Source organism: Homo sapiens, chromosome 22 (assembly GCF_000001405.40).
Source record: "Homo sapiens chromosome 22, GRCh38.p14 Primary Assembly".
Taxonomy (NCBI): domain Eukaryota; kingdom Metazoa; phylum Chordata; class Mammalia; order Primates; family Hominidae; genus Homo; species Homo sapiens.
Window position 1 is genome coordinate 45,759,775 of NC_000022.11, and position 26,953 is coordinate 45,786,727.

Consider the following 26,953-nt stretch of genomic DNA (forward strand, 5'->3'; position numbering starts at 1 on the left):
ACCATATAACAGTCAGCACTGTCCATCGCTTGCTTCTCTCTCTTTCTAATTTACATACAGCTAAACACAGATTTTTAATGAATGGCTGATAAGTTTTGACAGATGTCTGCACCTGTGTAATTATCACCCCAGTCAAGGTACAGAGAGCACCTCTATCCCCTCAGAAAGTTTTTTCCATGCTGGCTGTTGTGTGCCAGTGTGCCAGGAGAGCATGGGGCAGGGGAATGATGGCCCTAAGAAAGGAAGGAGGAACAGGGGGAATCTTGAATTACATTCTTTCCCCACGTGGAGATAGATTTGTGCTAATTCCACAACGTGGAACATCCTCCTTCGTTTGCTTAGACTTCCCTGGGAGCAGTAGCCCATGTACTGGTGGCCTAGCTCAACTGTGGCTTGGTTCTGGGCCTGTAAAGCCATCTTTCCCACCTACAGATGACATTCCCTATCTTCATCATGTGCTTTTAGTCAGGTTTCCTGCGGGCCAGATGCATCTGAGAGTGTGCCCTCATTAATATGGGACTCTGTGTATGTCCAGCACATGTGGGGTTTATTCACGTACCAGTGATTATTATTCAACATCGTTCCCTTTAGTGCAGCAAGCACTTTCTGAGTGCTTACCATGTGCCACTTTCTGTGAACCTCTGCAGTTCAACAGTGGAGTCAGAGGCAGTCCTTGTTCTCAAGTAGCTCATGATCTACTGTGGGAGACAGATGGCTAGATGATAGGGTGTAGTCATATCCCATTATTTCTGATACCCCAAATCTTGATCAGAAGCCTTGATCAGAAGCTAGGAAGGCTTCTGATCAAGATTTGTGGTGTCAAGAATAACAACGATTACAGCAATAGTAGTTGCTTATTGAGTGTGTCCTGTGTCCTAGGCACAGTTCTGAGTATTCGTCTCTTACCTCATTTAATGATGATACCTCTCCCATGTTGCAGATGAGGAGACTGAGGGCCAGAATGGTTCAGTAGTGTACCCAAGGCCACACAGCTGTTAAGTGGCATGAGAAAGAAAGAAACTTTCATTTTAAGCCTCTTAGATTTTTGTGGATTGTTTGTTACTGCAGCACGAACCAGCCCATCCTCACTGATAAGAGCCCCAGTGTGCGGAGTGGATTCCTGAGCCAGTTAAAAGGTTGCTACAGCAGTGGAGGCCTGGTTGGAGGGTGGTGATAAGCCTGGAAATAAAAGGACATATGTGAGAGACAGTAATTTGATAAAGAGTAATGAAAGAGGAAGCTTTCTTTCAGGTAGCTTATTCTGTTTCATTATTGTTGTTTTCCTTTTGGGAAAGAAGTTGAATTTTCATTGTTGGCTTATGTTTTCAAGGGTGACCTCAGTATTTTATTTTATTTTATTTTTTTGAGACGGAGTCTTGCTCTGTCGCCAGGTTGGAATGCAGTGGCGTGATTTCGGCTCACTGCAACCTCCACCTCCCAGGTTCAGGCGATTCCCCAGCCTCAGCCTCCCAAGTAGCTGGGACTTTAATGTTTTTATATTGGTGATTTTGAGCAGAGACTGTATTACCATCTAAAACACTACAAGCCTAGCATGTAAGCTCCATGTCTGTTTGCTCCTCATTCTCTCCAGGGCCCCTGGCACAGTTCCGGGCCCACAGTGAGTGCTCTGTAAACTTTTAGGGATGAACAAATGAATATTTTTAAATCTGTTCATTGTTTTCACAGTTAAACTTTTCTAAGCACTTATGTAATACTGTGTTTACTTAATTTTCATTTCTCACCAACCTTTATGGAAGACTAGGTGATAACTGGTTAAATTGTAATACAGTATCATAGGTATAATCTCGAAAAGGTAAAAATCAAATGTAACGAAGCATTATAATCCAGTGACTGGAACATTTTATGCAAGCCTTTGCTCTTTATTTATCTATTTTTTTATCATACACTTCTTCCCAGTTTTTGCTTAGTCCTTGTTAGCAGTTACATTAAAATCTGTTTTAAGTTCCACCTCAGGGAATATCAAAAGTTGGTTACTTTTCTAAATGGGCCTTTAATTAAAATTTTAAAAAATTAGACCATTGTGTTAGATTTTTTAAAATGTTGGCTAAAACAGAAAAGGTTGATTTCAGTGCAGTTGGGCTGAAACTATACTTAAATAGATTAAAGTATAATCTGGCTTTTAAAAAAAACACATCTGACTGGGATGAAGTAGTTGTGGTCTTAACTGAAGCAGGTGAATGGACCATATTCGCCTTTAAGAGCCTTCTGACTCCCAGGTTTTCTGATTTTTAAAAACTTCCTATTTAGTCATATGTTTTTACTTCACTTTATGGTTTAAGTGAGCCAACCAACAAAAGTTACTCATAAAAGATAGTATTTTACTTGTAACAATTGCAGAAAAAGTGAAAAGCTTGACATTACAGGTAGAAAGGAAGTCAGTCTCTGTCCCCTGTGCGTTTCCGAGACTGTGTTTCTATTTATTTGCCCTTTGTCTGTTTCCCCTGACCAGCGTGCGTTTCTTTCTGGAGGCGCAGGGACCTCGGCTTATTTTTCTCTGTCTTTGCATTGCTTGACAGAGGGCCTGACCCAGGGTAGGCACTCCCGCTTCATGACTACATCTCATTTTTTATTTATCTTTGTTATGATAGATAGCAGATAAAGCAGTTGATTTCAGTCAGAAGCAGACCACAGCAGCAGGATTCTTTCCACGGTGCATGTTCTGGCTGAGTGTTGGTGGGCTCCACCCTAGCCGAACCTGTGTCTGCACACCTGTTGTGTCTTCCTGGGAGGCTCCCAGGCATGCTCCTGTCTGGCCAGGGTGCTTCCTCCTCGCTCTCCAGCTGGCTGAAGGGAAGCTGGGCAAGAGTGTATGTGTTTAGGCCACAGGGAGAGCACAGACTCCCAGAGCATGAACCAAGGGGCTTCCAGGCCTCAGGGACTGCCTCCTGGTCCCCCAGAGGCCACCTCACTCTTACTCCTGTCTCCAGGCTGGTGACCTCACATGGCCCCAGCCATCTCTCCACATCCTCCCCTCCCTGCTGTGGAGCCCCCACTGACAGATGCCTTCCCCCTGTGTTTTGGCTCCAAATTCCAAGTGAGAGTAATTGCGTGGCTTCCCTTGGGTCTGTCTCCATCCCTGTTGTAGTCCCTCACAGCCCAGACTGTGGACTGCAGAGGCATCACCTAGGGGCTTGTCTGAGATGCAGAGTCTCAGGCTCTACCCCAGCATCCGGAATCAGACCATCCTCAGGGGATTGGAATGCACAGAAGCATTTAAGAAGCGCTTTGTAAAGCCATGGCCTCTCCTGCGCAAAGAACTGCGTGGTCCCTTTTCCTGGAGTAGGAGGCTGTGGCTACAGCATTTTCATCTGGAAGGAGGCCTAGGAAATGATGTTTCTGTGGCCTTCCTACCCCCTCTCCCTCACCCTGGTGACTCTCAGTTGGGGAGGGCTGCCGGGCAGTGTTCTGGGGGCAGGGAGGTGGTGGGAGAATCTGGAGAGCTGGAGAGAGTGAGGTGGTGAGGTGGGCCTGGCGTGTTCAAGGCAGAGAAGGAAGGAACGAGGGAACTGGCTGGAGAGACTTGGAGGGCTCCTCAGAGATGAGGCTGAGTGGGAGTGAAGGTTTCGTCAAGGTTACGAAAGGCCTTTGAGTTCAAGCTGAGGCCTTTGGACTTGGCCCCTCGCTCGCTTTGCCAGGAGACAGGCGGCTCCTTGCCTGAGCCTCTGTGCTTGCGCTCCTCTCCCCAGCCCCAGGTCTGCAGAGTGTGTGGCTGCTGCACCCTCAGGTGTTTGCTCATCTCCTCACAGGTCTTTCCTGCCCCCTACCTGTTAAAAGTCGGACCCCACCACGCCCCCCACCTCTCTGTCCCTGCTCTTTGGGCCCTTCCTTTTCCCCAGGTTGGGCTCTTGCCTTTTTCTCTGTTCCTTCACTGCCACAGGTCAGACTGTCTTCATATGCATGCATTTACAGGCACATTTGTGGTTGGTTTTGTCTGCTCTGCTCTTCGCAACCCTAGAATGTAAGTACAAGGAGGATAGGCAGGGACCATTTGTCTCTTCACCATTCTGGTGCTGGGAACAGCATAGCATGGTGGTGGAGTGGGCTCACTGAGTGAGCTGGTGAGCATGGGCTGTCTTGAGGTGCCGGCTGTGTTAGGCTCTTACCCCCACCTCCCCCAGTGTCTTCCAGGCCCCCTTCTTATCTAAGGCTGCTACGTGTTATTGGAGAAAATTATAATACCTGACTTGTGAGTTCCATTCCAGAATTCGGCCAGCCAGTTTCTCCCCGGCCTCTCCGGCAGCCTCTCTGCTTCTCCCTGATCCTGCAGCGTGTGCTTGAAATCCTTCCTCACGGTGCACACTCATCTTCAATACTGCAGCATCTGACCCTGACTTCATACGCTTGCTTGCTAAGTCCACATTCTCTGCAGGAATCATCTTCTCCCTCCCCCATCGCAGGGGAGTTCCCTCTCTGCAGGGTTAGATCCACCGCTACCCCCCAGCCCCCACCCCCACTCCCACTCAGGCAAGCCTTGTTGCCCCAGGCCCAGACCTCTCAGATTCCCTCCTGTCACACTGCCTTCCTGCTCAGCATTACCAGGGCTCCTGGTAAGTTTCCGTGGAAGGGTTTCCCTTAGCAAGGCTTCTGTTCTATAAAATGTTTACAACTCCCCTCCCTTCCCCATGAGTTTGAGTCTCAACTCTCAAAAGACATCTCCCTTGCGTCTGGCTAATCCGGGTTTGTTTGGCCTCATCCTTTCAGACTTCAGAATCCAACTCGCTCTTCATGAGCCTTTGTCTTTTACCAGTGGTAGTTTCGTTGACTTTTTACCCCATCATCCTTTGTGGGTAGATTGAAGCTAAGATAGAGTTTTCTCTTTTTTGGTATCAAACCCTTGCATGCTTTGGTGAAGTGGAGCAAAGCAAAATTTGAACACCCAAAGAATTTATTCAGAACGGTGTAAAATGAGACTCTCTGGATGGAACAAATAACAACATTCGTAAACCACGTGTATATTTAGTAAGCTGCGGAGTTATTGGAAATTCACAGGCGCTTCTGCTCCACACACATTCTGTTGAATTCTCAGCATCAGACAGCTAGGATGTCAGTGCTGTCTGCTAGTGTCCTTGTGACTGTGGGGACATTTGTCTGTTTTAAATTGTTGTGAGGTTTTTATTCTGAACCTTTTCACATCTTCAGTATATGCTCTTCATTTTTCAATCAGTTAATTCCCAACAGTCATTGTCACCAGTAATCTTATATTTTACAGTTTAAAGGATTATATGATAAACTTTCCATTTTATAAATGGTAAAAATCCCTTTCAGGATTTCTGGTGAAGCACGTTTGAAGAAACATACTGGTTGGAAAGCAGCGTGAAGTATGCCCCTGTGGAAACACTACCGGGAGCCAAGGAGATTGCCCTCTCATCGCGGGGCCAGTCCTAGAAGCCACTTCTTCCCCAAGGCAATGGCAGGAGGAAAGATTTGACTTAGTGTGGGGATGATAAAGATCAGGAGGTTGCAGCACATCATCATAGGAAGATACAGAGAGGCTGTGAGGAGCAAGACAAGTCTGAAAGCCACCAAGAGGGAGACAGTACTAGGGAGACTTGGCAGGGTTTGTAGTAAAGCGAAACTTTGCCAGTCATTAGAAATTAGTTTAGAGGCATTAAAATGCTGCCCAAATCTTGGAAGATAAACTTGTGCTCTGGTGAATTATTCCTCTCTCTCTCCCTAATTCCTAATTGCAAGAAGTTGCTCTAGAATCAGCTGGGACTGAGGGGTTGATTGTGGTGGATTTGCTCCCCTCCTCCACCTGCACCTTGGCATTACCTAAGTTCCCCCTTATTGGGTGCTCATATCTTTAGTGCAAATATTTTAAAAGCCCCTCCATGTCATAAATCACTCCTCAAATATAAAGTACTTCCTGAAAATTGCAAATCTTACTCTTGCTGTTCAAAATATTGGTTGTTCTCATGAAGACCCTACTGAGATGGAAGCAGCCTACCTGAAAATTGTCCCTATTCGTACCATGTGCTTAGGTAAAAAGACTCAATTTCATTCAGATGGCATTTCTCCTTACATTAATTTACAAATTTAATATGATCCCAGTAATACCCTCAGGTTTTTTTTGAGCTAGATTGATTCTAAATTTATTTAGATAAATAAATGAGCAGTAATAGCCAGGAAATTCCCTGAAAAAGAAAAATAACAGCTAGTTCTACCAGATACTAAAAATGTTATACAGCTTCCACTGTTCAAAACAACCTGGCATTGGCACGTGAAGGGGCTGACAGGCTAATGGGGCACAGTAGAAAAATGCAGAAATAGATTCAAATGTTTTTGGAAATGTAGTGTATGATAAAGCTGGCATCTCAGATCACTGGGAGGAAAAGAAGGAATATTTAATAAAAAGTATGGGGACAAGGATATCCGCTACCTTTAGATCAGGGGTTCCCCAATCCCTGGTCCGTGGACTGGTACTGGTCCATGGCCTGTTAGGAACCAGGCCACACAGCTGAGCTCTGCCTCTAGTCAGGTCAGAGGTGGCATTAGAGTCTCACAGGAGCGTGAATACTGTTGTGAACTGTGCATGCGAGGGATCTAGGTTGCAAGCTGTCTATGAGAATCTAATGCCTAATGATCTGAGGTGGAACAGTTTCATCCTGAAGTCTTCCCCGCAACCCCTCTTCCCCCGAGTCTGTGGAAAAATTGCCTTCCATGAAATCAGTCCCTGGTGCCAAAAAGGTTGGGAACTCCTCCTTTAGATAAAACTGGATACATCCCTTATAACATAGACATCAGTTTGAATAAACTGTAAATGGCACAGGTGTAAATGTAACAGCACCTGAACCCATGCAAGTATTAGGAGAAAACATGAATGAGTTCCGTTATATAACCTCCGAGTCTGGAAGCAATAAGAGAAAAGGTTGATAAATTTAAGTACATTTTTAAAAAGTTGGATGACAAGAAGCAAATAAGCACATAAAATGATAAAGAAAAAATAGTGGAAAAGATTTGCAACTTAAATCACAAACAGAAAGCCTAATATCCATAATACAAAGAGTTTCCAAAAATAAAGGAAAAAACCAATAGCCCTACAGAAAAATGGATAAAAGATATGAATAGACAGTTTACAGAAAAACGCAAAGGTGAAACAGTGCTCAACTTTGCTCATAAAAAGAAAAATGCACATTAAACTACTCACTGAGATACCATTTTTCACCTGTGTGATATCAAATGTAGTTGGCAAGACCATAGGGCAACAAATATTCTCTTGCTGTGGTGGAAATGCAAAATGGAGCCGTCTTCGTAGATAGGAATTTGGTAGTTCTGGTAAAATTCATATGCATTTGCTTTTTGACTCAGCAGTCTTGCTTTTAGGACTCTATACTAGAAACTAGTTCAAGACCATTAATTGCAACATTATTTCTTATTCCAAGGAGTTAGAAACAAACCAGGTGTCCATCAGGAGGGGATTTCTGGTATGTCCATGTAATGAAATACAATGCATTGTAAAAATGAATGAAGTAGACCTGTATATATTCTGCAGAGTGATCTGAGTGATGTATTATTATGTGGAAATAGCAATCGCAAAACATTTTTATAGTATACTATATCTTTTATGTAATACAGAGGGAGAAATATGAATATATGTACATATTCATATATTTATATACACATATGTATATAAATATACATACACACACACACACACACCACACATTTTTTCTATATAATTTAAAAAAGAAACCATGGAAGAATAAACTAAAAACTCATTTTAAACATGGTTAGCTTTAAGAGGAGAGGCCAGGGTGGAATAGACAGGGATAGAAACTAAAATTCTTTGAGTGTGCCTGTTTTATAGAATTACTTTGAAATCAGGTATATGTTTTACTTAATTAAAAATTAAAAAGGAAATACAAATACAATCTCTTGAAAGAAAGAAAAAAAAGGGAGAGGGTTGGAGGAAGGAAGAAGGAGAAAAGGAAGGAAGGAATCTATGTATATCTCACAGAGAGGATATTTGAACTGATTTTAAAACATCGTATTTTGACAATGTAATTCTAGTGGGGTATAGCCTAGGAACAGAAGAGCCACAGAGAAATTATAAACTGCATTCTGTTAGTAGCAACGTTGGTATTGTTACTCTGAAATACTTACACTGTGTGTATGTGTACACACTGTTTTATATGTGTGTGCTACATACTTTATTTTAGAATAGAGAAAACTGATTATGTTAAAGCTGTTAGACAGCAAGAATTTCAGCATAATAGAGATACAAAGATAAAAGCAAAGAGGTGAAGTTTAAAACCCTTAAAGTTTGAGTTGGAAATAGCAGTATGAAATCATGGTTAGTATTTTTCTTTCCAGAAAGTGCCTATTTCCTACCCTTATTCACTGAAAAGAACTAAAATCGTTGAGCCCTGGTATCATCCAAATTGTGCTTTCTTAATACCATTTTTCTCTATAAGGAACCAGGGCTCCTTGGAGATATGGCTGGTTTTAGGTGGGGCAGGAAATGGGGAAGGTGGACCTCGGACATATAGATGTACAAGAAAGTTGCCAAAGTCCCCCTGCAGCTATGTCACAAGGACACAAGACCCTTAAAGTGTTGTCCATTGTCCAAAGCAGGGATGGTTTGAGGATGAAAAAAAAAAATGCAGTGGATTGAAACACATAGAAAACACAACTGGTTTGTGTAAAAAACACAAAAATCCCATAGTTCGTAATGATGCTAAGAATGTATGCAGTAAGTATAATACCACGTGTGAAGTTTTCTTGCTAAAACAAATTAATTGCAACCAAATCAAACCTCTAGATCTAACTGTCAGTTTAGAGAAAATACAGGCATGAGAGAGAAGGGCATGTTAAAGAAAACGTAGTCACCAAATCCAGAGGGCATTAAAAAGAATTTACAAGACAAACAGCCAGCTTGCTCAGTGACAGATGGCTTGAAAGGAGTGGGGAGGAACATACCTTTACAGATTAAAACTATTTAGGAGGCACAGCAAGCAGATGCTCTGTGTTGACTTTGTTGGAGTGCTGATTTGAACAAACCAGTTGTAAAGGACATTTTTGAGATGTTCATGGAGAGATGTCCATGGATATTTGAACGTGGACTGGCTCTTAGGTAATATTAAGAAATTGTAATTAATCTTTCTAGGCAAAACAATGGCAATCTGGTTATTTTTGTTAAGGTGCTGTCTGTTAGAAATACCAAGGTATTAGCTGGTGAAATGAGTTGCTGAGATTTATTTTAAATACTCTTGGTGGGAAAAAGTGTGGGAAGAAGACAGATGAAACAAGTTGACAACATGGTGGTTTCTGAAGCCGAATGTTGGGTGTGTGAGTATGTATTATACCTCCCTCTCTCTGTACTTTGTGGTGTGTTTGGAAATTTTCATTTAAAAAAATGGTTAAAAATTTTTAAAGAGTTGTTATTGTTGTTGACCCGAGGTTGAGAGCTCTTGGTGGGTAGGGGACTCATCATGGAATCTGAAAGGCAGCTTTATCAAAAGAGTAACGTGTGCAGATGGGCGCCGTTCATCCCCTCTCCCCCATACAGACACATTTTTGTTGTTATATTCATAGACACAACAGACATTTCTACAGGATCTGCTTGGTACAGGGCACTGTGCTAGGTAGATGGGAGAATCAAGCATGAAATGGGTAGAATCCTGCCCGATGAGGGCACAGAAGGCCCCCAATGCCACAGTATAGGGGGAATGGAGATGGCTTGGAAAAGAGGTCACCGTGGAGTTGGGCCTTGAGGAATGGTGGGTAGCAGTTATGTGGCGATGAAGAGACTATTTCAAAGGAATGAATTACACCAGCAGAGGTACAGAGGAAGAAAGGTAAAGGGTCAGTATAGGTTTGGCTGAAGCTAGAGAGAATCTCAAATAGACTTGGTCAAGAAAAGAAGACCAAGGCCGATTCCCTAGGACCTTGAAGCCAGCCTTGGGCATCTTCCTGGCCAGGAGCCAGGCCTCTTTTCTCTTGCCTTCTCGAGTAGCCTGACAAGATGTCTGCCAGGTGCTCAGAAAATATCTGATGAATGAATTTACTCTGTATGCAGTAGAGTGTGATCTGAACAAAAACTCTTAAGAGTGTCAGGAAGTTAAAAAATATAAAAAATTTTCTGATGAAATGTAAGTTATAAACATGTTGGTTGAATAAAAATTAAATGTTACCACAAGTATTTTGTCACTCTATAAATACAGTTCTAAATAAAGGTTCTCAGATGCAGTTTCACAGAGCAGGCTGTGGCCCAGATGGCAAGACTAAGAGCTGAAGAAGGGCGGCTTAGGGTTTCTAGACCAGTAATGGCTACTGTTTCTTGAGAAATGATTATGTGTCAAGCTCTGTGCTTTCTGTATGCCATTTACCTAGGAGAGGTGTTACTCCTGTCTTACACATGAGGACATGAGGAACCAAAGTCAAAAGTAATTTGCCCAAACAATTTACAGCAAATATGATTGAAACCCATATCTATTTAAATCCCATCTTAAGCAGAGTTTTTAAAAATGTGGGTTGCATCCCAATAACGAGATACGAAATGAATTCTTTGGTCATAGTGAGAATTTTTTTAAAATGAGACAGGATGAGGACACATTGTAATAAGTACTGTCGCTGGTTGGGACAGGTGATGTGAAAAAGAGGGGGGTATGTGATGAATATACACACTAATGGGACACACACGTGTGTTTCTGTGTCTGTGAATGTGTGTTGCAACATTAGGTTGCAATGCATATGTGTTTCTTACGATCAGATAAATTCAAAGAAAGTTTAACATTGCAGAGGGGGCTCTGAATGAGCTGGATGATAGGCAGACCTGGACTCTGGAGTCCTCCCAGAATGGACCAGACCTGAGGGCTTCACAGAGAGCCACGTCCACATATGCGAGAGCCACTGATGGTTCTCGGCCTGTCTGAGGCAACAAACTTGTAAGCATGATAGCTCACTGCAGCTGGGCTCAGCCCAGGATCTGAAGAGGGCTTCTCAAAGAAAGGGGAGCTAAGGGCAGGATCCAGCCACGTCACATTCTCCATGCCTTGCTGGGACCCTTTAGCCAGTGAATTGTTTCATTTGGTCCCATGGCCTGGGAATACCCCCAAATTCCCTCCCTGATCCCTGAGTAGCTTTTCAGGAAGTGCTCACTTGGAGAGAGAGGACAGAGCCACAGAGCCTTCTCAGAGAGAAGAACCCAGATCCATCCTGGGAGCACTCGAGGCCAGCCCTTTTGGCTCTCTGCGGCTGCCTTCTTCCCTCCAATGCAAAATGGTACAGCCACTACACCCTGGCAGCTTCCTATAAAATTAAACATACTGTCACAAAACCCTGCAGTCGCATTCCTAAGTATTTACCCTGGAAAAGTGAAAAGAGGTTCACACAAAAACCTCTACACACAAATGTTCACAGAAGCTTTATTTATGGTAGCCAAAAGCTGAAAACAACCCAAATGTTCTTTAATGGTTAAATGCATAAACAATGGTACATCCATACAATGGAATACAACTCTGCACATCCTCGTCAGCTCTTGGTATTGTCAGTATTTTTAATTTAACCATTCTAATAAGTGTGTAGTGGTATCTCATTTTGTTGTAGTTTTTATTGCCCTAATAATGGCTAATGATGTTGGACGTTTTTTCATATGTTTAATTTGCCATGCTTGAGTCTTTTTTTTTTTTTTTTTTCTTGAGATGGAGTCTTGCTCTGTTGCCCAGGCTGGAGTGCAATGATGTGATCTTGGCTCACTACAACCTCTGCCTCCCGGGTTGAAGTGATTTTCCTGCCTCAGCCTCCCGAGTAGCTGGGATTACAGGCACGCACCACCACACCCAGCAAAGTTTTGTATTTTTAGTAGAGACAAGATTTCACCATGTTGGCCCGGCTGGTCTCGAACTCCTGACCTCAAGTGATCCACCCACCTCGAGCTCCCAAAGTGTTGGGATTACAGGGGTGAGCCACTGTGCCCGGCCTGAGTCTTTGGTGACGTATCTGTTCCAGTCTTTTCCTTATTTTGAAATTGGGTTGTTTTCTTTCTGTCTTAATTTTTATTTTTTTAAAAGAGAAGGGGCCTCTGCTGTGTTGTCCAGACTGACCTCAAATTCCTTGGGCTCAAGCCATCCTCCTGCTTTGGCCTCCTGAGGAGCTGAGCCTACAGGTGCTTGCCACTGTGCCCAGCTGGATTGTTTTGTTATTGTAGAATTTTGAGCATTCTTTGTGTATTCTGGTCACAAGTTCTTTGTCAGAGATGTGATCCACAGTATTTTCTTTAGTCAGTAGCCCACATTTTCATTCTCTTAGCAGTGTGTTTGGCAGAGCAAGAGTTAAAATTTTTGAAGTTCACTTTATCAATTTTTTTCTTTTATGAATCATACTTTTTGTGTCATTTCAAGAACTCTGTCCCTAATTCAGAATCACAAGAATTTTCTCATAGTTTTTCTTCCTAAAATTTTGTAGTTTTATGTTTTGTGTTTAGATCTAGGATCCATTTGAGTTAGTCTCTCTATAAGGTGTGAGGGTTAGGTCAAGGTTCATTGTTTTGCAAATGGATGATGAATTATTCTAGCAGCATTTGTTAAAAAGACTATCCTTTTTTGTTCATTGAATTGCTTTTGCACCTTTGTCAAAGATCAAATGGCCCAATTTGTGTGGGTCTGTTTCCAGATATGCTATTTTGTTCGTCGATATTTGTGCCTGTCTCTTCACCATTACAACATTGTCTTTATTACTGTCAATTTACAGTAAATCTTAAAATTGGGTAGTGTGATTCATCCAACTTTATTTTAGTGATTTAATCTTCTTTACCCTTCCATGTAAATTTTAGAATAGCTTTTTCATAACTCTACAAAACTCTGCTGTGATTGTGATTGGAATTGCGTTAAATATACAGCTCTCTTTGGGGGGAATCAATGTCTTACTGTGTTGAGTCTTCCAATCCGTGAACCAGGAATGTCTTTCTATTTAGATCTTCTCTGATGTCTTTCATCAGTGTTTTCTCATTTTCAGCATGTAGATCCTGTGTATGCTTTGTTAGATTTATTTTTAGCACAGTGGTTGCTTGGTACCCATGGGGTATTCATTCCAGGACCCCTGTGGCTACCAAAAATAGATGTTGAAGTCCCTGATACAAAATGGTATGGTATTTGCATATCACCTATGTACATCCTCCCGTATACTTCAAACCATCTGTAGACTTCTTATAATACCTAATACATGTAAATGCTGTGTGCATAGTTGCTATACTGTATTTTTAAAGTCTTTTTCCCCCAAGATATTTTTGATCTGCAGTTGAATTAGTCTGACGCTGTGGAACCCAGAGACACAAGGGCTGACTGTGTATAACATGTGGTGGGGGAGCTACTGTACATGTTACTTTTTAAAAATAGCCAGTTCCTGGTTGTTCGTCTCGCATGTGGAAATATGGTTAACTTTTGCATTGACCTTGTGTCGTATGGGCTTGCTCAACTCATTCATTCTAGGAGATTTGAAAAATAGATTCTCTGGGATTCTCTACATAAACAATCATATCCTGTGAATAAGGATGAAGTTTTATTTCTTCTTTTCCAATTTGTATGCCTTTTATTGCCATTTTATGTCTCATTGAGTCACAAGCCTTATTTGATCATGCTGTGATGTCCCTGCCTGCCTTCTTCTCTGTGGGGGTTAAATGGGAACAGAACCTACTTTTTACTGAATGAAGAATTATTTATTTATTTATTTATTTATTTATTTGAGATAGGTGTCTCGCTCTGTCACCCAGGCTGGAGTGCAGTGGTGCAATCTCGGCTCACTGCAACCTCCACCTCCCAGGTTCAAGCGATTCTCCTGCCTCAGCCTCCTGAGTAACTGGGATTACAGGCTGCACCATCATGCCTGGCTAATTTTTGTATTTTTAGTAGAGATGGGGTTTCACCATGCTGGCCAGGCTGGTCTCGAACTCCTGACCTCTGGTGATCTACCCACCTCGGCCTCCCAAAATGCTGGGATTACAGGTGTGAGCCACTGCACCTGGCCTGAATGAAGAATTATTAAACCTGAAGAAACAGTAAAAAATAATCACAAGAAAAACAAAACCACAGAAAGAAAAAAGAAATGAACTGATGTTTGTTTGTTTGTTTGTTTTAAAAGACTCAACCATTGGAAGAACAAGAGAAGGATGGGTTTATCCACAGGTGTATTTCTATGTAATGATTTCCCATTAGTGGGATACTATGTAGATTTCTCATTGCAGTCCTGTCTGGGTAGAGAGAATGGCCTGTAGAAACAAATTGTAAGAAACATGAAGCCATCAAAACAGCCCCTCTTCAGGTCTTGCAGACAGAAAGAACCATTTGATGCCATGTGCTTCAGCCAGCACCATTTCAGCATGTGCATGTGTGCGCTGGCACTCTGGGAAGTACTGTGACAGCCTGCTAATGTCTGGGGGTGGCCCTGCCTTAGTAGGCATGGTGGGGCACCTGCCTCCTACTTGGCATTTCTGCTGGGGGAGTTTTTGGCCTCCATAACTCTGTGACTGTTGACCATGGCCATCTGTCCAGTAGAGTGAGAGCAGGAGCTGCACCTGTCTGGAATGGCAGCCTGTCCCTACCAGTCCCTGCATCGCTATTTTGGAGTGAGACAGATAATGCAGACACAGTGTGCGAGCAAGCAGTCCTGTGGGAGAGCTCCAGGTCTCCTGTTCCTTATGTTGGAAATGAAGTCTGCCTTACAGGCAGAGGGGAACTACTACTTTGATGTAAGAGGAGATCGCTATTAGGAAATTCCAGATGTCCACCTGACACCTCCCTGCCTCTCCAGTCCTGACCAGTGTTGTACAGCAAAGGATCCCAACTCTAGGAAATCTTCCATGTCAGGTTCCTGAAAAAGAGAAAGGATGTTTAATGTTTTTTACAAAATAAAGGCAGGGGGGCTGGACGCGGTGGCTCACGCTTATAATCCTAGCACTTTGGGAGGCTGAGGTGAGCGGATCACTTGAGGCCAGGAGTTTGAGACCAGCCTGACCACCATGGTGAAACCCTGTCTCTACTAAAAATACAAAAATTAGCTGAGTGTGGTGGCACGCGCCTGTAATCCCAGTTACTGGGGAGGCTGAGGCAGGAGAATCACTTAAACCTGGGAGGTGGAGGTGGCAGGCTGCAGTGAGCCAAGATCACGCCAGTGCACGCCAGCCTGGGTGACAGAGTGAGACTCTGTCTCAAAACAAACAAATAAATAAATAAAGGCAGGGGTCGGAGAAACACTAAAGTTTTTTGTTTGTTTGTTTTGCCTTTTCCCCATCCCTTTTTCTGGTAGTTTGTAAAACTTTAGTGTTGTATTACCAGAAGCACTTATCCACTCTGCAGATTTTAGGACTCCACCATTTCTAGAGGTGGGAATTTTGGTCTGGGGCCTTCTTTGAGAAACACTGGCCCTCAGTCCTTACCACTCCTAGAGAAGGAGGGGATGGCAGTGGGCAGGGGACAGATGTGTGCACATGGAGGACTGGGAGGGCTGGACATAACAGGAGGCTACTGGTCCTGGGCATGGGGCTGTGTCCCTGTCCCTGTGTTCACATCTGGACCTCAACATAGGGCCTGTTAGCTGAGGTGCACCCTCTCTTAAGTGGCTTCATGGAGATTTTGTAAGAAATTGAGACAAGTTGGAAAACACAAACATTGTGAGGGTTTGTAGAACGGGTGGGTGCTTGCTGAAAGTTTATATTCATTCCATATTTAGTTGTCTTTATTCTGTTCAAACATTTTCTTGTTTACTTGTTGAAGCAGGTTCAGAAATAGTTATTCTGTAGTGTCTCAGTTTTATTAAAATGCAGTTAATATTGGAAAATATGGTTAGAATTAGGTGACTGCCAAACATGGCTTTCGTCAGTGTTAGCCTGTGTAATGACACTGTTTTTCTCCTTCGTGTGACTATTTATAATAAAAATGTGACTTGCAGTATTGTTATTGAGAGAGATTTAGTGAAAAACAGCGGTTGAGTAGTTTCCATGCTTCAAGTTTTACTTCCTCATTAGTGCCTCATGTCATGACCTGGGTCTCCGATTTATTTAGCACGGTAGCACCAATAATAAATATTCTACAGCCTCTAACCTGATAGATCATTCCGCCCCTCACAGCCAGCCGGGAGGTAACATTAACATCCGTTTGCTGGTGTTTGAAACCTGGAGCTCCCGGAGATTAAGTGGAGCCACCATGGGCACCGACATCTGTGGCCACTCCACAGCCCATTGGTTCCGTCCTTGACCCACACTTGACCTGTCTGCTGGAGGGGGACCCAATTCAGGGAACCCAGGGCTGTGCATCACCACCCTTGAGCATGTCCTGTTACCTTTCTGAACTTTAGTTTTCATGTCCTCGAAATCAAGATGGTGATATACTCTGTAAGCCTACGGTTAACCAGAGGTAGTAGTTTGCAGAATAAAAAAACACCCGTTGTGTAAAGGCTTCAGTGATTGTTTCCATTTCTTTCTGTCTAAAACTTAATGTGGACCATGGTTTACCTTAATCATAAACCACCCACTTGTTGCTTTGTTAATAACAACCAATCTTTTGATAGCACTTTCCATTCTATAAAGCACTTTCATAAGCATGTCACTGAAGAAGGTGTTTAAAACGAAGATGATCATGTCTGCAGGTGTGATGCGTGACATGGATATTTTGTCTGACCACCTTTCATTTTTTACCCCTTAAAATTTTCCCCTCTCAGGAAAGTTCACACACCCACAGCCATATGAAGTTTTTCATATAATTTGCACTCCCTGATACCTTTTTTTTTTTTTAATGTCAAAGTTGGAACCCTGCTTTAAGGCAATTAAACTGATATGGAAGAGAAGTTTCTACTTGAAGGCCAAGCAGCCTGGTTTGGAAGCCTGCATGGCTCAGCTGCCCACTAGTTGTGTGATCTGGGGCAAGAGTAATTGAGCCCTAGCTTTCTCAATAGAGAAAATGAAAATCATGCATTATGTCTTGCTGCATTGCTATAAACACAAACGATAATATATGTAAAGTATATCACGTGATGCTTGGTATATGAATATCACCCAAAATACTAACTGCTGCTGCCAGTTTTTTTAAGCATTGGTATTCTAATTAAATTATGTTTTTGCCAGTGATTCTGAGACAAGAGTTTTTAAAAGTTTCTTCATGGAAGGATCTGTACCGTTTTCAGCTTTTTATTCCTATGCATCATTTTTGCACATAATTTCTCAATAAATGTATCAAGTTGAACTTTTTGAGGCAAATAATATTTATGTCATTTGAATAGTGGACAACGATGAACTTGAATGACTTTATGTATGCATGAGCATTAATTTTAAATAAACCAGAAAGCTACTTTTATATTTCGAAAAATAATTCATTTGGGTTTTCCTGTTCAAACTTTGCCATGTTACTCCTAAGTGATACCTTACTTACTGAGATGGATCAGCCTTAGGGAGAGGTTTGTCATACTTTGTTACACACTGAATAGCCTATAATTATCAAGATTATATCCAGTTAGCATAAAGTGCTGTTTAGTTTCTGTTATGTCGTTGTTACCATAGCTGGAGTCGGGTGGGTGTTTAAACCTTTGTGAACTCAAAATTCTTTAATGATGATGGAATATTTCATGTTTTAGTATTCTCTTGATCTAGAGTATATGTTCAAATGTTTTACCAGGTATGTGTTTTTTACAGGTTCATATAATATATAAAATGCATTTCTGTTCCAAGAAAAATACAAGTGGTAAACAGTTGGGAGAGAGCTTGCATATTTTCCTTTATTGTCCTGTCTGATGATTAATGCATTCAGCTATGTTCAGCCTCACGTTTAACCAGGTTAGTGTTTAGTTTGGTTAGGCTGTTTTCCTTATGAGAACAGAAATGGCCAATCCTGTGCCCTGCCTGTCTTCCAGATGGAGTCTTTGCATTGTTTCCAGATCACAGTGCTTAATGTAAGGTCAGATTTTCTTGTGAAAACAGATTTTGGATTAACTATGTCTGTGCACTTGCACGCACCCCTCCGCACCTGCCTGTTCACTTAAGCTCTAGCTGCCTGCTGGAGTCATGGTTCTGATTTCAAGATGCAAATGAGAATTGAGATTCTGCTTTATAGCCTAAAAATGCAAAAGCAAATTCCTACTGCATGAATGGTCTGCAAGTCTCCCTTTCATAGAGACCATGAGGTGTAGTGGAAAGAGCTTGATTCTTATGAGGATTTAATGTAGGGGTGAGCAGACTATGCTGTGGGCCTCTATTTGTAAATAAAGTTTTATTGGGACATAGTTGTGTTCATTTCTTTAATATTGCCTATGGCCATTCTCACACTACAACAACACAGTTGAGTAGTTGCAGTGGAGACCGTATGGTTTGCAGAGTCTTAACTATTTATTTTCTAGCCCTTTACAGAAAAAGTTTGCTGGCCCCTGACTTAATGCAATAAAAAACTCAGTAGTTTGAATCCCAGCTGTGTTATGCAATAGCTGTATGACATTGATCATGTTCTGTAACCTCTTTGTACCTTAATTTTTCCCCTATTAATGTCATTTATCCATTTACTCAGTGAGTATATATTATGAACTTACTATGTGCCAGGCCCTGCTCCAAGCTCAGGAAATACAGCAGTGAACGAATACTGGCCTTTATGGAGCTTGCGTCTCAGTGAAACTTATCTTCATGAGGATAATTGTACATGCCTCCTAGGGAGGATGAGATGAATTAATATATGATACCTGTAAAGCATAAGTAGAGTACATGCTCAGTGTGTTCGTTATTATGCTAACTATAGGGTTGTTAATGTGTAAAACAAAGTAGAACCTCTGTTCAGAGTTGGAACCCTTATAAGTCCGCGTTTACTATTCTTGAGGTTTTTACTGAAATAACGAATGATTAGAAGTAATTGGGCATATATCTGGTACAATTAGCCTAAAAAAGAGAGAGAGGAGCTTGTATGAAATTAGGATTCTCCATTAAGTGAATAAAATCGTGTCACTGAGTTCCCAGCTAAGAGCAGTCTGAGATTGACAAGATTGTTCTTGGTACACAGGATGGCTCACATGGAAAAGATGAGAATGGGAAAAGTAAACATTTGATTAATATATGAAATTAATACTAGTTTCTTTGTATACATTCAATTTTGATAATTAATTAATTTGATATTTGTACAAAAAGGTCCTAGGATGTGAGCACTCTCCATCTTGGCACTCAGGCATGTCTGGTGAGTGGAATGGATACAGAGTATCAGAGGATCTAGAAGCTCCTGATTATATGAGTTGGGGAAAATAATTTTGCTGTGTTCCTCGTTTGTAAAGTAAGGAGACTGGACTGAGTTTTTCCAGGCTCTTTTCAGCTCTTGAGTATGAGATTTATGAATTTTCTCTGTGACCAGATTCCCCAAAATAAAGCTTTGCATCGTTCTTCTCTCCTGCAAGAAGCCACCACTTCTTCCCTTTCATAATGAAGCAACACCTCTATTTCTTCATGTTTCTAAGTACAGAATGCATAATATTGGAGTAACAGGACCCTACTCATCTCGAGAAATTATCAATTTCTTCAACTTCTTAATGAGGATAATTTTCTTTCTTGGGCCTCGTATGTAAGTGGAAGTATGATTTTTGTTGGACCACATAGTCACTGAAGGCACTTTCCAGTTCTGGCATTCTGAGACTCCAGAATATAATTCAGAAGACTATAATTCAGAAGACTAAAGACGGACTGGAAGGAAGAGGGTTATGTTGGGCTTTTGTTGTTGTTGTTGTTCTTTTAAGGAGAGAAACTTCACAGCTGGGAGCGAGACTAGACTTGCTGTTGGGGTGAGTGGCCGTCTTGCAGTACGCAACCACTGGTAGTGATTTCAGGCCTCAGTAGGCATCTTTGTCATTTTTATGTGGTGTTTATGTAGTATCCTTTTTCCTCTAATGCTCTTCCTTTGGTACATAACCTTGTAGGAAAAGTTTAGATCTGAAAGCACAGATGCTGTGAAAGGACCAATTCTATATTGCCTTGCATGGTTACAGACAAGAAAGCGAAGACTTGAAATCTGTAGTTTGTGGTTTGTGATCTAGCAGAGATGAAATAGAATTCGTACATACTTTTTGAGAGTACAAAGAAAAAGAATCATTCGTACTTTATTTGGAAACATGCCATTCTTCTGGGGCTTTCATTTTTAAAATATTTAGGAATTAATAATGTGTTTCTGAAAAAAAAATCTCTGATTGATAAAGAAGTGGAAAAGTATACTCCAATGATTTTACCAATCAGGAGTCCTTGCCCTTAAACATTTGAAGTTAATGTTTTTAATATCTAAGTATTCTACATTCGTGAAATTCCAAATAAAAACGCTTATACAAACAAAAAGGCAGACTGCATCATCTTTTTTTTTTTTTTTGAGACGGAGTCTCGTTGTGTCACCCAGGCTGGAGTGCAGTGGCACGATCTTGGTTCACTGCAACCTCCACCTCCCAGGTTCAAGCGATTACCCTGCTTCAGCCTCCTGAGTAGCTGGGATTACAGGCGTGTGCCACCACGCCCAGCTAATTTTTGTATTTTTAGTAGAGATAGGGTTTCACCATGGTGGCCAGGCTGGTCTTGAACTCCTGACCTCAAATGATCCACCCGCTTCAGCCTCCCAAATTGCTGGGATTACAGGCATGAGCCACTGTGCCCGTCGGACTGTTTGCTCTCATGAGAGCAGGGTGTGAAAGCCCCCTTGTTGCCTGTTTCAGAATTTATGCAGTGTGGTGGGAGGAGGTCTGGCTCTGGAGTCAGGCAGACCTAGGTTCAACCCTGGCCCTGCTGTGGAGTGGATGTGAACCTGTGCCAGCCTGTTTCCCCCTCTGTAGAATGGGATAACAGGAAGTCCTGCCTCAGAGGCTCATAGGGAGGATTAGGTCAGATACTACATGTAACGTGAACAGTGCTGGCCAATGCTTAGTACATATTAACTGCCTTTATTTTTGTTTGCACAAATATATCCTAATCTTCTGAAATTTAAACCTGGATCAGTGACTTGTGTCTTCATTTGCTAATGGAAGTCCTTTGGCACCTTAAAAACAATACGTTGGCAATTGGACTTGGGATTCTGGATTAAGGTGGTGCAGATGCACTTCCCGGTATCTCTCCAGCTAAATACATCCAGAACCCTGTCATCATATATGAAACAATCATGGAAACACGTGACAGGTGGGGAGAAGACGGCATACTAGCAAGGGGCCTTGAGACTCAGAAACGATAAGGTGGCAAGTTCCCTGGGTTTTCTCAGACTGATTAATGTTAGAGAAGCTGTCAACCCAGAAACACCAATGGGTGCAGACCAGAAAGCCCTGAGGAAAGCTCACTCTTTCTCCCTAAAGGACCAAGAAGGGGACAACTTAAGACAGAAAACTTTTAGACAGTAAGTGCCCTATTTCAGCCAAACACCACGGAAAAGAATGTGGCCCCAGCCCACCAACAATGGCTGAATGGGGAGCCGAAACAGAAACCTTCCCCTGGTTATAATGAGGCACCCCTCACCCCTGCTAGGTGGTGTCAGAGAAGATGGAGCTGGGAGCCAGGTTTTTATCCCCACTGGGCAGTAATGAGGCATCCCCCAACCCCTGCCCAGCTGTACTGTCAGCAGAGACCGAGTAGGGAGCATGAACAACCAGCTCTGCCCAGCAGTAGTGAGGCACCCCTCTCTCCCCGGGTGTCAAAGGAGGTTGAGTGAGGGACCTAGATCTTCACCACAACCTGGCAGTAGTGAGCTGCTCTGCCTTCCACGTGCTGTTGTTGAACGAGCTCTGCTAAAATAGGAGACTTAAACTTAAGATTCAGTCTTCTCATACCACTACACCCAAATGTTTAGAGTACAATTTAAAATCATGGGTTACACTAAGGACCAGGAAAATCTTAGCTTAAGTGAGCAAAGGCAGTCAACAGATGCCAATACCAAGATGATGACATGGATGTTGGAATAATCTGATGAGGATTTCAAAGCATCCATCATAGAAATGCTTCTGTAAGCAATTATGACCACACTGGAAACAAATGAAAAAATCTCAGCAAAGAAATGGAAGATACAAAGAAAAGCCACGTGGAAATTTTAGGACTAAAAAAACAGCAACCTGAAATAAAAAGCCAAAACTCAGTGATTGGGTTCAGTGGCAGAATGGAGATGCTGGAAGAAAAAAATCAGTGAACTGGAGGATGGAATAAAAATTATCCAGTCTGAACAACAGAAAGAAAATAGACTGTACAAAAAAGTTAACCAAGCTTCAGGGATATGTGGGACTTTAATAAAAGGCCGAAAAAGTATTCAAAAGAATAATTTCCTCAATTTGGCAAAAACCATAAACCTACAAATTCAAGAGGGTCAAGAGTGGATCGAGTTTCCTTGGTATAGCTTTTGAATAGCAAGTGACTCAACTCTCTGGAAATTTTCATGATCCTATTAACCCATCATTCCTGTTAAAACAAGAAAGGATCTCTTCTCAGTCTTTTATTCTTCATGACTCGGGCCTATTGGCCTTAGTCCAGGATACATCAACCAGCATTTTCAACAAAAGTGATGGTGTTTTTGCTAAATATATTGTTTTGCTAAACCAGCTATTATATTGGTATATATCCCGTAGAAATGAGTGCTCGTGTCCACCAAAAGCCATGAACACAAACGTTCATGGCAGCCTAATTTATAATAGCCAAAGACTGGAAACAACCCAAGTGTCTATCACTAATCGAGTGGATAAATACATTATGGTATTCATTCAGCGGAATATTACATAGTGGTGACAGAGGGAGCTTCTGGGAGGTGCAGCAGCTGGGCACAAGAGAGTGCCTACTGTATGACTCCATTGATCCAAAATCCCAGAAGTGGCCAAAGTAATGTAGGGTGATAGAGGTCAGAATACTAACCTCTAGTAGGGGTTATCAACTGGGAGAGGACACAAGGGAGTCTCTGGTGCTGGAATGTTCTTTACCACTATATGAGTGGTGGTTACACATCTGCCTACATATATAAAACTTGTATAAGCGATACACGTAAGATTTGTGCACTTTACCGTAATAAATTAAATGTTAAAGAAATGTATACAGTCATCTCTTCTTATCCATGGGGGATATGTTCCAAGACTCCCAGTAGATGTTGAAACCGAGGATAGTACCAAACCCTATGTATGTGAGGTTTTGTCCTATGCATATGTACCTGTGATAAAGTTTAATTTATAAATTAGGCACAGTAAGAGATTAACAACGATAACTAATGGTAAACTAGAACAATTACAACAACAATAGATTGCTTACAATTTCACAGACAGAAGATTGGTTCATACTATTGATCTTAGCAACCTCAGCATACAGTTTTTTTCTTAAGTCTAGAACTCTGACCTTTTCACTTAAAGGAAGCACTTTATGGCTTCTCTTTGGCATATTCAAATTGGCAGCATCACTACTCTTGTACTTTGAGGTCATTGTTAAGTAAGATAAGGGTTCCATGAACACGAGCACTGTGATACCATGGCAGAATGGCTGGGGAGCATAAATAGTGTGGGTGTGCTGGACAAGGGAGGATTCAAGCCCTGGGAGGGATGGTGAGAGATTTTCTCATGCTCCTCAGCATGGTGCACAACTTAAAAAACAGGAATTGTTTATTTTAGGAATTTTCCACTTAATAGTTTCAGACCACGGGTAACTGAAAATTGCAAAACGTGAATCCTTGAATGAGGGTACAACTCTCTGTTCTTTTCTGAAGCACCAGTCTCTGTAAATTCTTTCTGTTGCTTTCAGGACAAAGTTAAAACTGGTAAGCTTGGCCTTCAGGGCTGCCCCTGATTGGACCTGCCTGGCCGGCTCAGGTGTCCTCTTCTGTATTCCTGCAGCCCTTCGTGTTTCCCTCCAGTGCTGGATGTGAATGGTGCTTTTTGCTTGTCTGTGGGGCCTTCTCTCTCCCTTATCCCCACCCACATCCTGACATTGGTAAGAGCAGTACCTGTTTCTGATTTACCTTTTAGTCCCCAATACAAGGTCTATCACAAAGTAGCTTTCTTTTAAATGTTTATCAAATAAATAAATAGAAGATTAAAAGAGGTGCCAGGTGTTAGCACACAGAGAAATAGGTCTTGGAAAAAGGACCTGAAAGTGCTGTTGTCATGTTTGTGTCATGCTGATGGCACGATTCCCGAGGGCACCGAGGAAATGGTCAGACTTCTTTCCTGTAGGTCAAGGCTGGTGAGAGTTTGGCACTTGAGATGTCTTCCTAGGTCTGCTGAGGCTGGCGGCCCACTACCCGCATTTGTCCCTGACTGCTTTGCAGGCCGTCCCCTGTCCTACAGCAGGCCAGGTCTGTGTCACTGGCCCTCCCTCTCCCCTTCTTAATCCTCATCACTCTTCATTTGCACACTTTGAGGTTTTCCAGCACATTTAATATTATTTCAGCCATTCTCTCTTTTCTGAAAACCAGAAATAGTTACCTGCAATTTGTGTGGTACAATTTTTAAAAAAAAATGTACATTTTTAAATTAGGCAGATCTGGGCTTTGCCACTCATTAAGCTCCATGACTGTGAACAAATTAACCCTTACAGATTTCATTTTCTTTATCTGTCATCTTGGAACATTATTTTCTACCTTGCAAAACCATTAGGAATACCAAATATTTGCATGGAAGAGATTTGTAATATAGTAGGATACTTGGCACGTTTCCTTTCCCTCGCCTATTTCCCATTTTCAAGCAGAGCTAACACAGCTTCTAAGACATATGATCTTGATTCGTAAGACATAGTCCCCTAATTGTAATCTGCACCCCGAGTGTCACATTGCACAGTCTGCCTCAGGTAACAGTGGGGCTTCCACATGTCTTGCCTTGGAGGTCTGTGCTAGGCTGTCAGGAGGTGTGGATGGCAGGCACGGGAGAAGGGACAGGAGGCTGGCTTCCTGTGGGCTCGCCTGTCGACCCCCTCCCTGTGCCCAGAGGACACACAGCTTAGAGCAGGGCCCAAATTGACCTCATGGCTATTCTTACACATTCCAGATAGTCATTCTGAGGGCTGCTGTGTGGCAGATTCCCAGCACGGGCTGGACACTTGAGCTCCCAGCAAGCCTTTATTTTTTTATTTTTTAAACACCGTGGGCAAGCTGATCAACAGTTTCCAGGGCATTATTTATTGATGGCAAGGAGCTTATCATAATACAACAAGCAATTGAGATTCTGTCCATGAGTTAAAAATTAAAGACTGAATGTGTTCATGACAGAATTCTGTTTGTTCAGGCACTGAAGTATGACATTGTAGATGATGCATTATGGGTGGGGATTGCACCCCAAGTAGCAGAGGCAGAATGCATATTTTTAAAAACTTGCTGTATGGGTTATTTTTGTTCTAAATGTAGCTGTGCGTGTTAGCACAGATGTGCCGAAACAGCTTTTCAGAGCTGCTTTGTTTTCTCTGCTGCTGCCATGGTTTACCCATCCCTTTCTGGTATTGTTGCTCTCTCAAGTCATGTCTTGTGGTACTTTCGGGAGGCTACTAAATGGAGTGGAGTTTTAAGTAATGTGCACTCAAGTACATTAGAGATAAATTCACTTCTTGATTCATATTTTCTCCTGCTTCTGCTTAAAAATGGGGATCTTTCATCTAGCTCTTTAAATACTTCACTGGCCAGCTTTTGACATTTTGCCTAATTAAACTGTCTTAAAGAAATGACAGTAATGGAAAACTAACACTGTGCTTCTACTTTTTTTCTTATGATTCAGCTAGTTTAAAGTTCTTTATAAAGAATGCAACAAAAATGCCCTAAGTAGAAGTACAAATAAAAGATGATATTAAATTCTCGCATTTTATTGAGCACTTTCTAGAAGCCAGGTATTGTGTAAGACGTTCTGTTTTCTTACCGTTTACTAGAATGACACCTTCTGTTTGCAGTAGAGCTTTTTGGCCTGTTTTTCATGAGGCCAGAATGACTCACCTAAGTTCACATGGCTGAGCAGGTGGCAGCGCCAGGCTTAACTCAGTGCTCCTGGGTCCTGTCCCTGCCTTCTTGCCATTACCTCTTGTTCTGTGGAAGTCTGAGGAAGCCGCGAGGCTGAGAGTCAGAGACAGTCCTGTGCAAAGGGGTCTGCACCGTCCTGCAGGAGGGGTATACTTGGCAGCCTCTGAGCCACGTCCTCCTGGACCAAACGTGGGAAGATATTTTGCATTCCAAATCAGTTGAAAATACCTTTCTGACATCTAGCTCTAAGGTTTCTGGTTGTTTTGGACAAAGCAGACAAATTTTGTAGCTATGCAGTGATTCAACATTCATTCACCAAATTTTTTTTTCATCTTGTAATCAGAAATATAGCTAGCTTCTTAAAAATCAGCTAATTTCATTCATTATTTAAACAAAGATTTTATCTGCTAGTTGAATAATTCATGAGAAAATTGCACTAAATTCAGATGTGAATGTTTGCTAAAGAAAAGATAGTTGCTAATTTTTCTGGAATTTGGTAGTTGAACTCAGAGAATATTTGTATTAATCACATTGTGTTTTGTACTTCCGGGTACTTTAAGAGCCTCTGCCATTACTATTCTTGAAAAGCATCTTTATTTTGTCACAAAAGCTTGGAGAATGCTACTCACTACTTTACCCTATTGAGTTTTGCCATAGAACTGTAGTATCATTCTCTCTGGATTCCTTTCTTTTTGGAGGTGTCATGGGGAGCAGGGTTAGTTTATGGGATGCAGTCTCTGACATTCTCGGCCTCACTGTGTTCCCGTGTGGCCACTGAGGCCCCGTGCAGTGGTGCAGTCCTTGTGTGCGAAGCTGGGCGCCAGTGCAGCCCGCACTTTATCACCCTTCCTGCCAGGGCATTGCTCCCTGGTCGGAAGGATTGTTGGTTCTTCCTTACTTAGGTCTCGTACCCACTCCAAGTGCAATGCTGCGGGCACATCTCAGCTGGTCAGCAAAACTTGTACTATTAAATGCCTTTATCTCATAAAATCTTAATTTATAAAATGTAGGCAGCTGGAGGAATGCTCAGCCTTCCTTTATGGCAAAGGAAAGCCCCA

At 42.1% G+C, this 26,953-nt stretch overlaps 1 protein-coding gene and 1 non-coding gene across 4 annotated transcripts in view, besides 5 other annotated features; both read left to right on the top strand.

Moving 5' to 3' along the window:
• ATXN10 (ataxin 10) overlaps positions 1 to 26,953 on the top strand; it is a 173,474-nt gene that overhangs the window by 87,941 nt on the left and 58,580 nt on the right. The window lies entirely within an intron of this gene.
• MIR4762 (microRNA 4762) lies at positions 750 to 824 on the top strand. The gene has a single exon (NR_039919.1). It is a non-coding gene; the product is annotated as a microRNA 4762 (primary transcript).
• Positions 2,877 to 3,470: an enhancer, noted in NCBI's record as "H3K27ac-H3K4me1 hESC enhancer chr22:46158531-46159124 (GRCh37/hg19 assembly coordinates)". NCBI's record gives its function as "activates a minimal SCP1, AML or CMV promoter by ChIP-STARR-seq in naive H9 embryonic stem cells {active_cell/tissue: H9 hESC(naive)}" and the evidence as "EXISTENCE:reporter gene assay evidence [ECO:0000049][PMID:30033119]".
• Positions 3,035 to 3,329: a silencer, noted in NCBI's record as "tiled region #9609; K562 Repressive non-DNase unmatched - State 24:Quies". NCBI's record gives its function as "represses a minimal TATA promoter and a strong SV40 promoter by Sharpr-MPRA in K562 cells {active_cell/tissue: K562}" and the evidence as "EXISTENCE:reporter gene assay evidence [ECO:0000049][PMID:27701403]".
• Positions 8,638 to 9,211: an enhancer, noted in NCBI's record as "OCT4-NANOG hESC enhancer chr22:46164292-46164865 (GRCh37/hg19 assembly coordinates)". NCBI's record gives its function as "activates a minimal SCP1, AML or CMV promoter by ChIP-STARR-seq in primed H9 embryonic stem cells {active_cell/tissue: H9 hESC(primed)}" and the evidence as "EXISTENCE:reporter gene assay evidence [ECO:0000049][PMID:30033119]".
• Positions 17,862 to 17,921: a silencer, noted in NCBI's record as "silent region_13887". NCBI's record gives its function as "represses an Ori minimal core promoter by ATAC-STARR-seq in GM12878 lymphoblastoid cells {active_cell/tissue: GM12878}" and the evidence as "EXISTENCE:reporter gene assay evidence [ECO:0000049][PMID:35858748]".
• Positions 25,934 to 25,983: a silencer, noted in NCBI's record as "silent region_13888". NCBI's record gives its function as "represses an Ori minimal core promoter by ATAC-STARR-seq in GM12878 lymphoblastoid cells {active_cell/tissue: GM12878}" and the evidence as "EXISTENCE:reporter gene assay evidence [ECO:0000049][PMID:35858748]".